We start from the raw sequence: 13,419 nt of genomic DNA on the forward strand, positions 1-13,419 counted from the left end.
TGGGTGCGTGTAGCTGATGGGGCAGAGACCAAACTCTCAAAGGGCACAAAAGCCCCTGCCAGGATCTAACCAGATGTTCTTTACTCCCTAGCTTGCTGGTTAAAGAAATCATTCCTGCTGAAAGCTAGTCTTTAAAGAACTTTTGTTTCATATGCAGATCCCAGAGTCAGTATCTGGGCTCCCATGTCAGGCCTGTAGATGGCATTCCTGATAAAATTAGGTCATACACAGAAGGAATGAGTCAAGACCAGTTCTGAAGCTTCCCTGGGGACCAGGAAAAATGCCTTCAAGGAGGAAAAGAAAAACCATTACAAACTTGAGCCACTTTGACTTGCATGGATTTCTCTTATCCCATCATTTCAGTCCTCAGAGAAGGGCAGGCGGCTTATTGCAGATTCAACTTTTGGTATCACTCTGGAGCTCCTTTACTTGTAACATAGCAAATACGGTTACTTTAAGGTACAGGAAAGCAGAAAAGGCACTGGCCTGAGAGTCAGATGGTTTCTAGTTCCAGCCTGGCTACTTACTAGCTGGGTGGCTTTGGATAAGTGCCTGCACCTCTTGATCCTCAGCTTACCTACTGTAAAACCCAGTCCCAGGGCTAGAACAGCTCCATTTCTTTCAGCTCTACCATTCTGTGAATTAATGACATCAGTTGACCATTGATTGCATCCATTCTACTTTTATTTGGCATTTGTTCATTTGATACATATATACATATATAAAAATCTGTACATGATAAAAATACAAAATAAGTATTTCTTCATAAGTTATGCAATTAAACAGCTACCTTTTTAAAGTTTAAAAGCCATTGCAAAACAAAAAAGTGAGAAATCTAGTCAGTCCTTTATAGTCATTCACAATAACCTTGGTATAAAATATCCATACAACCTGTGTGTACAAAATAGTGTACAGTTCATAAGAGCTGTGCAAAGACAGCAAAGTTCAGTTAAAAAAAAAAACAAAGAGACTGTACAGGTCTCTCTGTCCACATCATGCCCAGTTCCAGGAGGTCTGCAGCTCAGCAACACCTCCCTAGGAATAACAAAAGGGCACAAGGTAGAGTGTGTGGTGCGTATACCATGGATACAGACATTAAAAAGAAAAAGCTTTAAAACACACATACAAGAATAGGGACTGCTGCTTTTTTCCCCCTTTAGAGAACTCACTTCTTTCGCCAGAGAGCTTTTGGAAGGTGACAGAGAAGACTCAATATGTATGTTGTGCCTTGAATCAGAAGGCACTAATATATATATATATATTTCCTTTTTGAAAATCTTGAGCTTTCTAAGAGAACATCTATGGGAAGACAGAAGTGGGGTAGGGGGTGGAAATGAGAGACTGGAGTGAAATAGGAGCCCCTTGCTACCTATTAGGGGAGGTGAAGGGATCTAGAGGGTCAACGGTGCTGGAGTTAGTTATATGGTTTGGTGTTCTCACTCCCAACTCGGTTTCCTCCTCCATAAACAGGTTTCCTACCATATAGGGTGGTTACTGCTAACGACCAGCAGAGTGTGTCTCACAGTAAGGTCCAGGCCGTGGGACCACAGAACACCCCACTGTGTTTAAAATAGTTTGTAATAAACAAAATAGAATGGAGTCCTTGCTGAAAAGTTAAGGCTGGGACCAAGACTTAAAGTGAACTGATGTGGGGAGAACTATTTGGAGTTGGTTTTGTTGGGAAGGAAATGTCTCTTTGGGGCTACCGCAGGGCCGGTGGCGCCCTCAATGAGGTGATGGTTTCTACCGTCGGGAGAGGCAGCATCTGGGCACGGGGACAAAGTGAATGCGCAGACTGGACCCCACCTCTTCGATTTCAAAGCACTTAAAAATAGTACTCTGGCGTGCGAGCGGCTTCTAGGACACGGTGATTTCCTCCTGTTCCTCGCCCTCCTCTTCCTCCTCGGAATCTGAGAAGTCCGAAGGTTTCCCGGGACTGCTCGAGTGCGCGGGCGAGGGGGGCAGCGGCCCTGGCAGCCGCGGGTCCCGCAGGTGCTGGGGGTCGGAGGACGCGTGGTAGGCCAGGCGGTGGCTGGGGCTGCCCGGGCCCTCCTCCTCCTCTTCGTTCCCAGGGCCCTTCTGGCCCACGTCGCTGAGGTCCGGGTGCGGATTGAGCTTGGTGGGCAGGGTCTGCTCGCGACAGCCCCCGCTAGACAGGAGTTCGCGCTCCTTGGAGTTCCGCCATTTCATGCGTCGGTTCTGGAACCAGATTTTCACCTGGAATGTCCCGGCCGGCGAGAAGAAGGGAGAAGCAGAGGTCAGATCAGGGGCTCCGGGGGACGCACGGGGGCGGGGAGTGGAGTCGGGTGCAGGCTCTGTCCTTCGGGCTGTGTCCTCTCCCCACCCCCAGAAATGAGTTCCGGTGGATTCCCGCATTGACTCCGCCCCCGCCTCAGCTCGCGGTTCCGTTTGCCTCATCCGCTGCCACCCTGCCCCGAAGGGCGGGGTTGGGGGCCGGTGAGGCCGGGAGAGAAGGCGGGGAGTCGGGGTGGGGAGAGAAGAGGGCTATCCTGCGGAGCTTCGAGGGTAGTGGCCCGTGTACTCACTCCCTCTCTAGGCCTCGGTTTTCCCATCTGTACAGTGGGACCTAAGCCGTTTCCGAACCCTTGCAATTGACGGGTGCGCCGGGGAGGGGTGAAGGGCGGGGGCGGGGGGGGTGCTGTGGAGGAAATGCGCTCACCTGCGAGTCTTTCAGGCCCAGCTTGGCCGCCAGCTTCTTGCGGTCGGGCTTGCTGATGTACTTCTGCTTCTGGAACATCTTCTCCAGCGCCTTCCGCTGCACGTCGGAGAAGACTGCTCGACGCAGCATGCCCCGCCGAGGCTTCCCGCGCGCGGCCAGCGGCCAGGAGAAGGTCCCGGGGATGGGCACCACGCTGGAGGAAGCTGCAGGGTGGGGGGAGGTGGCGAGTGAGTGGGCGTACGCCCCCCAGTCCCAACACGGCTCTCCCTGGCTTTTTGCTCTGATCCCTTCATCTCTTTAAAACGCTCCTTTTTCTCCCCCTGGAGAATAGGCCACGAACCTACAAACCTGCGAGAGTGAAAGGCGCTTTCCGCCCAAACAACTTTCCCTTTCAACCGTGCAAACCCGGATTAGGTAAAACCACGGAAACAGAGAAAACAGCCCCCACAATAGCCTGTTTCGTTTTTCCATTCAGTGGACTTAGGGAAACAAACCTGCGTACATCAACTAAAACAGCAATAGAAAAAATAAATTACTAAAATAAAAATAAAATATCCAGCCGAGGCCACTGTGTTTCTCCCCTAAGCTTTTATCATTTCAGTGGCTTTTGCATTCTTTAGATGAAAATGAGGTGCTTTACTATTTTGATAAAGAGGGAAAAATCCGATTTAGATTTTTTGAAAAATCCAATAAGTATTCATCTTTTTTATATTAATCCTTCCTCCCCTCCCCCACGAAACGTAAAGAATTCGGCCCGAATACATGAAAAGTGGCAGCTAATTAGCACATTGACTGCTTCCCAATGGGTATTGGTATGATAAAAGGGGGGAGAGTTTTGCTTTAAGCGAAAGAAAAAAACAAAACAAAAAGAAACAGAGACTCTAATGAAGCGTGAATGGTAATTGTGTAGTAATGAACTAACAGAAAAAGACTGAGGACAAGCAGCGAAAGCCATATATTACTGGGACAAAAGAGATTTACACTTTCAAACTAAACACAACTGCAGGCCAAGACCATTGGGAGAATACTGATGGCAGAAGCTTCTCTTCCCCGAATCGTTTTCATTAAATGGACATGAAAAGCTATTTATAAAGCTCGGGTTGTTTTTGTTAGAGCATTGAGATGAGGGAGAAAGGGAGCAAATTCCATTATTAGCAGCAGTGTGAATGGTGGTGGTGGTGGTGGTGGTGGTGGTGGTGGTGGTGCTGGGGGGTGGGGGGAGGGCGAATTATCTCTCCCCTTTAAAAAATCAATTGCTTGTTTCTTTTGCTGATATTTGGGAGTGCTGTCGTGATTTTACCCATCCCCCGCAGGCCATACCCAGTTTTTCTTCTCTGTATAGGGACTCTCCTGCCTCCTTTTTAGTTTTGACCAGTGGCAGAGTTTTTGAGCCATAGTTTGAATCATCAGTGAGGTTACAGGAAGAAAACCTGGTGGAAGCTGCCTAAGGTGTTGCTGTTTTAGGCTGGGACACAATTATGGGCTTTCTTCTAACTGCTTCTTATTTTGCAAGATCAACGGTATTTTATAATACAGGGTGGGAAAGGAGTATGAGAAGGGGTTTGGAAATCAGGCTGGAAATAGGTTGGGATTGGGGGAGGATCTAATCCCCCTCCCCCTGGGCGACCCTAGGCATCCCACACAAGAGGGCACCCCATGTGGTCTTGTGAAAAGCCCGAAGCCCTGAATGAGTCTTAAAGAGAAATTAGCCCCGGCTGGTAGGTGTCTCTCGGCGGCGTGGAGGGACTAGGGCCGGTCTGTGTGTGGCTGCCCGGAGGAGCTGACCAATTGGTCATGGTGCTGAAACCTTTGTGGGGAATCGTGGCCAAGTGCACTGACTCTGTGGGAAAACGGCGGCGTGAAGGGATGCCAACAGCTCCTCGCCGGGAAGGGAACCGCCTCAAATTGGGACCATGACAATTCCTGCTAATTTGTAGAGCAGGGAATTGGTGCAAAGTGTCAAGCAGTCACTGCTTGTGCTCAATAGGGCATCAAATTGGCGCGACGGATTCATGAATGTTATACGCCTCGCAACCTCTGAACCAGAGCATAACCCCGAGGGGTGGACGGAGAAATACGGCTTCGGAGCAGGGAGCGATGGGCCGGGGCTGGGGCGCCGCCCTGCCTCGCGCAAAGAAGGGGGACGAGACCTACCTGGGAAATAAGAAGATCTGATGAAAGGCTGAAAAGACCCTTCGAAGTAGGGAAAGGCGAAGGTCTTGGGAGGGACGCTCTGGAGCAAGGCTGGGGATGTTTCTGGTGGGCGATGGAGGGGGGACAGAAGGAGAGAGGGAGACAGAAAGAATCTGATTACGTACTTGCCTATTGTATAGCACACTGAACACACGATATAATTAGCCCTTCATCTGGTTTCAAAGACATCTTTCTTATACGTTGACAGGGTAAAATAAATCTTCCCAACATTGTCTTATCTGTAAAACTCTTTTCTTTCTCCCCAACGTAATTCTCTGCGCCGTCCCACTCTACCCCAATCTCCATCCTAGGCACTAACGAGATAGGACTGAGTGGGGAGGAAAGAAATTGCAGATTTATAATATTTGCTAATCCAATAAATATATCATATTGAGTTTAAAAAAAAAAACTGTCTCCTAGAAGCTCGAAGGCAGAAACGCAGACGTCCAGGAGCGTGCGCTCAGCGTTACTGCACCAGATGACTGCGCACAGTCTCCGACTGCGTGTGCTCAAGTTCACTCCGAGGATGGGGCGAGCCTGGAGGCTTTTCTTCCCCGGAATTGACTGGACTATTCTCACATTGCCTGACGTAGGGTCTCAGAGTTCGTGCGTATTGTGTGTGCACCGATGTGTGTGTGGGGGCCCGCTCGCTAGAGGAAACTGAGGCCAGGATGACTCCGCGCATGCCTAGTACCTGAATGGGCCCTTAGGGTTCTGACCTCGCTTACCTGTTCTGGGCCCCGAGGAGAGGATGGCGTTCACTCCAAACTTCAGAAACGTCGTCTCGCTGGCAGGGGAGAAGGCAGTCGGCGGAGAGCCGCCCCGTCGGCTGCCGGGACCCGGGGAGCCCAGGTCCGAGGCCCCCGTGTCGGTGAGGGCCGTGGGGGCCCCCTGCCTGGGCGGCGACATGCTGGCGGTGGGCACGCTGCGGGGCAGGTAGGCGGGGGGTCGGCTGATGCGGATCAGATCCTCCACCAGGAAGCTGGAGTGGCCGGAAAATGCCGACTGCAAGGACTGGGGCAGCGTCAAGGTGGGCGTGGGCCGCAGGAGGCTAGGGTACCCGGCGGGGGGCGCGAGGAGGCCGGGGAACATCATGGTAGGCGCGGGCGGGCGAAATAACCCTTCTTTCAGTGGCCGGAGGGTAAACGCCTCGCTTCCCGCCCCTCCCGCCCCCACAGTGTCCTCTCTCTTGGGCTTAGCAAACGTCTCCAAGTAACAATCCCACTTGGGCGTCTGCGAGTCCTCCGTGGTCCTCTCGTCGAGGTGATGGTTTTATAGTGGCCCGCCCGCTAAAGCACTTTGAAAAGTGACAGCTCTGACAATGAAGTTCAACAAAGTTCTCCACTCGAGCTTCATTCGCCGGAGGCTCTGGACTCTCTGATTGGCGCAGGGGTGCAATTTATGATTGGATTAGTCTTCATAAGCATGGCCCGCACAATGGGCCGGCAACAAAGGCCCGCGCGCATCAATTTTGCATATCGACCGCCTCTTTGCAATACAGTGCGCCCCCAAAGCTCTCGCCAAAGGTTTTTGTTCCGAAGCAACACCCGGGCTAATTAAATGCCTATTTAGAAGTTTCAGATGACATCTTGCCTCATAGAAAAGGAATTATTTAAAGAACCCACTAAATTTATTTGCAGCTCCCCTGCTAAGCCTGGAAAATAAATCAATAAATATTCATAGAAATACATCTTCAGGCTATCAGCAAAGTTGCCCTCCCTCTTGTGGGGGTAGGGCAATGAAAAGTTTCAAGTCAGTGGACATGAAAATATACTCCCTTTCCGGTCTCTAGCCCTATCCGTTACTCCAGCTGAAGCATAAAGCAAATGTAGGGGTGAGTGAAATCAGTGTTAGAAGTCCCATTCTGACGACTCAGGGAAACTTGGAAACGGATGCTTTGGGGCCACTGGATGTGTGTCCGTAAGAGTGGGGAGAGGTCTGGAGTTATTTCATTTCGGGAGACTGGTTGAGTTTGAGCGTTGGTGGATACCTGAAAAGTAAAACGAGTCTCCTTCAAATTCCCAGCAACTTGGAAAACGATTTTCTCTAGGAGTTTCTGCAAGGGGCTGTCCGCACCTCACCTTGCGGGAGGAGCGGAGGAGAGCGGCGCTGGGCTGCCGAGCGGCAGGATTCCGCTTGCAAAGAGCTTAGGCTGACCGGAAACTGCCTCGGGCAAGGGTATCCAAAGGCTGTGAGTGCTATGCTGGCCGTTCTCCAAACACAGGGAGCTCTCGGCAGTTTAAGTTGAAACTCACAGCCCTGACATTTTAAGCCATAGCAGCGAAGGTCCAGACGTCGTCTGGAGAGAACCCTACCACTTGCGGGGCCCTTAACTTGGCCCAAGGTTTGGCAGCTTCTTAATTAACTACAACGCACAAACGCGTGAAAACCAGAGGGAAGGGATGCGGTTCCCAAGAATGTTGGTCCACTCCGGGAAAGCCTCCCCTGAATGTGGGGCTTCAAAGGAGAATCTTCCTGGAGACAGTCCCTTCGCTTTCCTCTGGTTGGGGCTGAGGTGGTACTAAGACTCGATTCCCCCCATTTCTCTGTTCGGCGAGATAACAGATGTGTTAAATGTCCCATTCATCTCTTTAGTGTGGCTGAACCTCCCCAAAGAGAAGTGTGCAGCCCCGCCAGGCCGCCCTGATCCTATTAACCATGAACTAACTGTCACCTTCAGCTGGTTTTCCTTTTTGCTTTTTAACACAAAGCTTTCTCAAAAATCTTATTAACCAGCTTTATTTCTCTCGATGGTTTTGTTCGGGGTGTTTTGTGTTGATGATCTCCATGTCGCTGCTTTAACCATTCAATAAAAGTGCATCTGCGATTTATATCACATTAAACCAGAAACGGAGCCGGCTAAAACTCTCCCTTGATTCAAATTAAAAAGTTATTTAGGGCCCAGCTCCAGAGGCGAATTAATGCTAGAAGATGACGTAAGTGCGGAGTTTCTGAGCCCAAGACCGCTCATGCTCATGGGCAGCGGGAGAAAACCAATCAGGAAAGAAACAACTTTTAAATAAGGGGCTATTTAAATATGGGAAGCGCCTTGCTGGAGTTAATTGGAGTCCCCTGGAAACGGAAGAAGGAGATCTGTCGAAGAACGTCAAAAGTTCCTTTTTGAAGTTTGCAATAAAATAGGTGAGAAAAGCATAAGCTATCTGAACACCTGCACTTTAACCTTGCCATGAGACAGTTTCCCATTGCAATAAGACTGGCTCTCTCCCTTCCTCTCCCTTACTTTTTTCCTCAGGCCCACCTCCCTCCTTCTCCCACTCCCTTTCCCTCTGCCCCCCACCCCTTTTTCTCCCCGAGTCTTAAGGACTTGGGCAATTGCCAGTTCCCAGAAGGACGCGCCGGGGGCTTCAGGATGTTTGATTCCCTACCGGTGAAGCGCTTGTCCAAGTCTTCCGGATGATCAGAATAGAGTCTATATTTGCCAAAATCAACTTGGATTTTGTTTTTTTTTGGAGGGGGGAACGGTAAGAACTTGAAGCCAGCGTGAGCCCTTCCCAGCTCCTCCTTCCCTGTTGGGGCATTTGCCGGGGTGTAGTTTTCACCGTTTCCTGTCCGTCGACAGGCTTCATGCCACCCCTAGCCCCCACCCCAAGCCCCAGCCATTCTGCCTCACTATAGACTAACTGCTACTAACTTCTCGGCTTTTAAAAGTCTACCCTGCCATTTTTTGGAGGGTGGATCAACCCCTTGCTGCGATCCACGTGGACCCTGCTTCCTGGGGTCGGTCTCCACAGCCTCCTAAAGAATTCCTAAAGCGCCAAAGAGGAAAAGTGAGGGCGGGGGCGAGGGGGCGAGGGCTGGCCGCCCGTGAAAGGAAAAATAAATCCTAAGGAAGCAAGAAATCGGACGAAAGGATCTTACTTTAAGTGATCTCCTTGAACGCGTCTTTTCAAACTCCGCGATAGCCCAAGGAGCTGCGCGGCGCGGCGGCTGCGGCTAAGACCTGTGACTAATGCCATTTGACCTGAGCCCATGGGGTTTTGTGCGTCCTGCCATTCACTGTTATGTCGTTATCTTCAAGTTTATTTCGGAGAAATCACTCGCGTTCTTTGTCTCAAGGCTGAGCTTTCTGTCTATTTCTCTTTCAAGAGAAAAGAAGACGGGAGGGGAAAAGAGAGAATCGGAGTCCCTGGTTTGGGGTTTAAGGTCCTTGCCTACGCTGCGGGGGAGGCCGCAGCAGATCCGGCTGGGGCTCCCCGGGCCTAGGTGGCCAAAGCTGCCGAAACCTGCCTTGGATAGTAGAAAGAGCGTGTCGGAACGCACTCTGGGGGTTTCGTTCCCCCCGCGCAGGGGAGAGCGAGCATGTTCCTGCCCCGGGCGCCGTGCGGTCGCAGCAGCAGCGCGGCCCTCTCCAGTGCGAGCCGTGCCTGGAATGTCTCGGGTAAGCGAAGGGCCAGCAAGCGAGGCGAAACGGACACTATAAAGCAGAGAGTGGTGTGAGCTTCCCCGCCCTCTGAAAAGATGGCAAGTCTCCGTTTCGGGAAGGCTGCAACGCTAAGGTCACCCTTTGCAGGCTTCGGACCCCCAGTCCTCCATGCTCCCTGCCGGAGCAGCCAACAGAGTGAGAGCGCATTTTGGAAAGATTGGCCGGATGCCGGGCGGCGACAGGGAAAAGCGCCCGACGCCTGGCTTTGGGGTGGGGGGTGTGGGGAGGGGGGGCAGGGAGCTAACGGGCGAGGCGAAGGAGGAGGGCTGCGAGGCTCGGACTGAAAGAGCTTTCCTACCGCCCCAGCCCCTCTTCGCAAGCCTCTCTTTTAAGACAGCTCTAAGGGGTTCACCTTCAGAATAGGCCACTAGGAGCTACCGCTGCCCCAGCTCTTTCTAGTGTCTCCCCCCTCACCCCCCATCCCTTTCACACTCACTCCCCTCTTTTTCCTTGAAAATCCTTCTATTGTGCCAATCAAGCAGATGGTTTGCAGGAAATATAGCTTGGCCTCGCTGACCGAAACAAATTTTAACTAGCTTTCCAAGCCCGAAACGTTTGTTTTGCTCTTACAAAATAGCCCCCAAAACAGCTGGCAAGGGTGAATTAAACCCATTAAAGACACATTTATAAGAAATTATATTCACATAGATTGCCCGAACCCCCTTGTGCTGCCTAAGAGAGGAGATGAGCGCATTTAAATGAAAATGTCACCGGACGCTCCCCTCCTTAACGTAGCCTGAAAGTCTCAAAACATTTTACTAAATAGATTAACTTGACTATTGTCTTGCATCACATTTATCAGCTTCATTAAGTGAATAGCTGAACAAATATATTACGCATGCATGAAAAGCTCTTTTTCGAGGAGTCTCATTGTATCCTCAGCCCTGACAGGTGGTTAACTGTGTGTTGTTTTTTTGTGTGTGTGGGTTTTTTTGGTGTTTTCTTTTTCTTTTTTTTTATTATTATTTTTTAACCCGAATAAAGGGGATCTCTGTAGAGCGGTGCAGGGCTTGCAGTGCGGACTTGGAGAAAGTTTACTTCAACTCCCTTCTTGGACAACCCTCTGCCCTAGCAATATTAAAACCATGTTGGGCCAAGGAGATATGAGACCGTTCAAAATAATCAAAATTAAATTTTGGTAAGCCCAGCCTTGAGTGCTTTCTCTCTCCATCATTATCTCTGCCCACTTGTCTGGGAAATTAATTTCATACTGCTACTTTTTAAAGCTGAAGATTCCGTCCCACTCTGCTTGAAAATAGCCATTGTTTCTCCTTGCTTAACCAGCTCTTCACAGACTGCAGGATTAAATATTCTTTTTTTTTAAAAAAAAGAAAATAATAATAAAGACAGAGTCTCATTTTGTTGTCCAGGCTAGTTTCCAACTCCTGGCCTCAAGTGATCCTCCAGCATCTAAATATTCTTTTAACTCACATTTGAATCCATTTCACTTTACTATATGTATTTAGGAAAAGTTCTTGTCTCCTGGGCCTCAGTGTCCCTATGGGTAAAACGAGGGGGGTTGCCTCAGAAAGCTCTCTAAGGGCCCTTTCAGATCTGATCTCCTGAGGTTTAAAACCCCTCAGCTCTTTGTTGCCTTATGAAGGGGCCCAGCAACTCCCAGCCTCTGAGCCCAGGGTGATGACAGGAAGGACAGCACCTCCAGGTTCTAGAGTGCTCCCTTGGTGGAGGGGCGGAAAGTGGAGTGCTCTAGAGGCCTAAGGCAAATCTGCCAGCCAGGGAGGACTGCACACACTGGGCTGTCACTCCTGGGGTCTCAAGATACACTGGGTACCAAGAGCAAAAGCCTTGAGGTCATGCCATCCTCACATTCCAGTCCACATCCCTCCCTTCAAACAGGCTGCCCTGCCTACTGTCCTCGCCAGTTCTTGTCCCACCATGAGGCATGGCCTGACACTAGGTGAAAAGTAGGAGGGGATCCTCCCTGGCCCACTCCCCTTGTCCTGGGCCTCACTTTTTAGCTGGTGGAATGCCACAATGAGCCCCTTCCCCTCTATGCTCCATCATCTTTTCCCTCTCTTGCCTTTTCTGCCTTCCCCCCACCCCAAGCTGGAACTATTGATGTTCTGTCCTGGAATCTTTCTGGTTAAAGAGGCTTGGATGAAGATGAAATTGGTGCTGGGTGGGAAAGGGTATAGAATTTTTCTCTGAAAGGGCTGCTTTTGTCCAAGGCAAAAGGAGCAGAACTGTGCTGTGAACGAAGGTTGTCTTATGATGTAGATAAGTATCTGCTTAAAAAAAAAAAGTTGGCCTGGTGCGGTGGCACACACCTGTAATCCCAGCACTCTGGGGGGCCGAGGTTGGCAGATCACTTGAGTCCAGGAGTTGGAGACCAGCCTGGGCAACATATTGAGACTGTCTCTACAAAAAAAAAATTTTTTTTTAATTTCTTTTTAAAAGCTGTTTTGGAGCAGCCTCCAGAAGAATAAGAATAGCTTGTTGGGTGTAGTGATGACTTGCAATCTTTTCTCAAGTGATTAATCTTCCCTGACGGCTTGATGAGATTCTTAGGGAGGGGGCTGAAGACAGTTGTGTTTCTTTCTTTTTTTTTTTTTTTTTTTTTTTTTTGTCGCCCAGGCTGGAGTGCAGTGGCGCGATCTCAGCTCACTGTCACTGCAGGCTCCGCCCTCCGGGTTTACGCCATTCTCCTGCCTCAGCCTCCCCAGTAGCTGGGACTACAGGCACCCGCCACCAAGCCTGGCCAATTTTTTGTATTTTTAGTAGAGATGGGGTTTCACCGTGTTAGCCAGGATGGCTACGATATCCTGACTTCGTGATCCACCCGCCTCAGCCTCCCAAAGTGCTGGGATTACAGGCATGAGCCACCGCGCCCGGCCAGTTGTGTTTCTTTTGGAAGAACTTCCTTCAGTCAGATAAGGGAATTTCAGAGCAAGCCACTCACTCCCTGTACTTCAGAAGGAGAAGTGGGAGAGGCAGGAGAAGGTCAGTGAGAGACCTTGTGTCTGAGGCTTATTTCTGAGAACTTTCAGTCTCCTTTGTTCAAAGCACTCAGCATGCCAAAGCGCCACATTTTGGGCTGTTGTTTTCTGAGCCCCAACAGAAGGAAAATGAATCATTTTTAGAATCAGGACCCGTAAACTGGAGAAGGAGTGTGGGAGAAGCATCCTTGCCTCTAAACATCAAAGCTCATTTTGTCTCTGTTTGAGATTTAGAGATTTACCCTGTTGGGACAAAGAGGTAGACACCCATGGGAGGATTGGAGGCAAAGTTACTAGTTCTTTATAATGTAGTGAAAGTTAGTTTTAAAAATTATTTTTCTTCTAACAGGTAGGGAGTCTTGATTTGGCCAAAGGAGGGACCTATCAGAGGGGCTGTTTTGAACCATGAGCCAATGCTTGAGAGGAAATTCTGAATTGTGTGAGCCTCTAAATTGCTGGAGAGTTTTTTGCCTGGGGCTAAGGTAGGCTTAGATGCATTAAAGGTAGGCTTTAATGCAGTAAAGAGAGAAGAAATCTCCAGGGACTTTTGCCTGCTCTGCAGTTCCACTTAGTCAGTGTAGGGAAGGGAGAGGGAGGCATAAGAGAATGTGACATTCTCTTACATTGGTAAGAGATGAGGAAAATAGCTTTATTTCTGGTATTACTATACTACACAAAGGCCTCAAGTCCAAATGCCAGCTTCCATCTGTAGAAGGAATAATAAGACAATCCCCTGCCTGCTTACCTTCATCTACCATCAACCTCCCCTCCCACTGCAGAGAGAAAAGAGATGGTCATCAGACAGAGAGGTTCCTTTCTGCCAGCTTACTCTCCATTCTATTCACATCCCTGCAGATAAGCCCCCTCCTGCCTCCTTGGGAACTGTGCTGGTTAGTTGTTTTCTGTTTACCCTTCTAAACCCCACTGTCTACTCTTTCTCCCTCCTGCTTTGCTCTGAGAGGCTGGCCTTTAGGCCATGCATTGACACCAGGATACCTTGCTGGCTAGATTCTTCTAGTTGATATCTATCAATGGAAAGCACCAGCACCAACTCAAGGGCAGAAGAGGTATTTATTCCTCCCACTCCCTTCTTGCCTAGTTGCATTTCTGGGAGGGACTGTAGCTACAGCTTCCAAGGTCACTGG

General features: G+C 49.8%; 1 protein-coding gene across 1 annotated transcript, besides 4 other annotated features; it reads right to left on the minus strand.

Moving 5' to 3' along the window:
- Window positions 1-1,798: 1,798 nt before the first annotated feature.
- DBX1 (developing brain homeobox 1) lies at window positions 1,799-6,119 on the minus strand. The gene is made up of 4 exons (NM_001029865.4): window positions 5,602-6,119; window positions 4,835-4,936; window positions 2,681-2,883; window positions 1,799-2,217 (listed from the first exon to the last, which is right to left on the minus strand). Exons 1-4 carry the CDS (start codon window positions 5,966-5,968, stop codon window positions 1,858-1,860), a joined length of 1,032 nt encoding a protein of 343 aa, NP_001025036.2. The 5' UTR covers window positions 5,969-6,119; the 3' UTR covers window positions 1,799-1,857.
- Window positions 1,914-3,113: an enhancer, noted in NCBI's record as "BRD4-independent group 4 enhancer chr11:20177816-20179015 (GRCh37/hg19 assembly coordinates)". NCBI's record gives its function as "activates an origin of replication core promoter dependent on BRD2, P300/CBP, MED14 and CDK7 cofactors, and independent of BRD4, by STARR-seq in HCT116 cells {active_cell/tissue: HCT116}" and the evidence as "EXISTENCE:reporter gene assay evidence [ECO:0000049][PMID:35650434]".
- Window positions 6,499-7,000: an enhancer, noted in NCBI's record as "NANOG-H3K4me1 hESC enhancer chr11:20182401-20182902 (GRCh37/hg19 assembly coordinates)". NCBI's record gives its function as "activates a minimal SCP1, AML or CMV promoter by ChIP-STARR-seq in naive H9 embryonic stem cells {active_cell/tissue: H9 hESC(naive)}" and the evidence as "EXISTENCE:reporter gene assay evidence [ECO:0000049][PMID:30033119]".
- Window positions 7,001-7,500: an enhancer, noted in NCBI's record as "NANOG-H3K4me1 hESC enhancer chr11:20182903-20183402 (GRCh37/hg19 assembly coordinates)". NCBI's record gives its function as "activates a minimal SCP1, AML or CMV promoter by ChIP-STARR-seq in naive H9 embryonic stem cells {active_cell/tissue: H9 hESC(naive)}" and the evidence as "EXISTENCE:reporter gene assay evidence [ECO:0000049][PMID:30033119]".
- Window positions 8,625-9,126: an enhancer, noted in NCBI's record as "H3K4me1 hESC enhancer chr11:20184527-20185028 (GRCh37/hg19 assembly coordinates)". NCBI's record gives its function as "activates a minimal SCP1, AML or CMV promoter by ChIP-STARR-seq in primed H9 embryonic stem cells {active_cell/tissue: H9 hESC(primed)}" and the evidence as "EXISTENCE:reporter gene assay evidence [ECO:0000049][PMID:30033119]".

The sequence above is a fragment of the Homo sapiens genome, chromosome 11 (assembly GCF_000001405.40).
Source record: "Homo sapiens chromosome 11, GRCh38.p14 Primary Assembly".
Taxonomy (NCBI): Eukaryota; Metazoa; Chordata; class Mammalia; order Primates; family Hominidae; genus Homo; species Homo sapiens.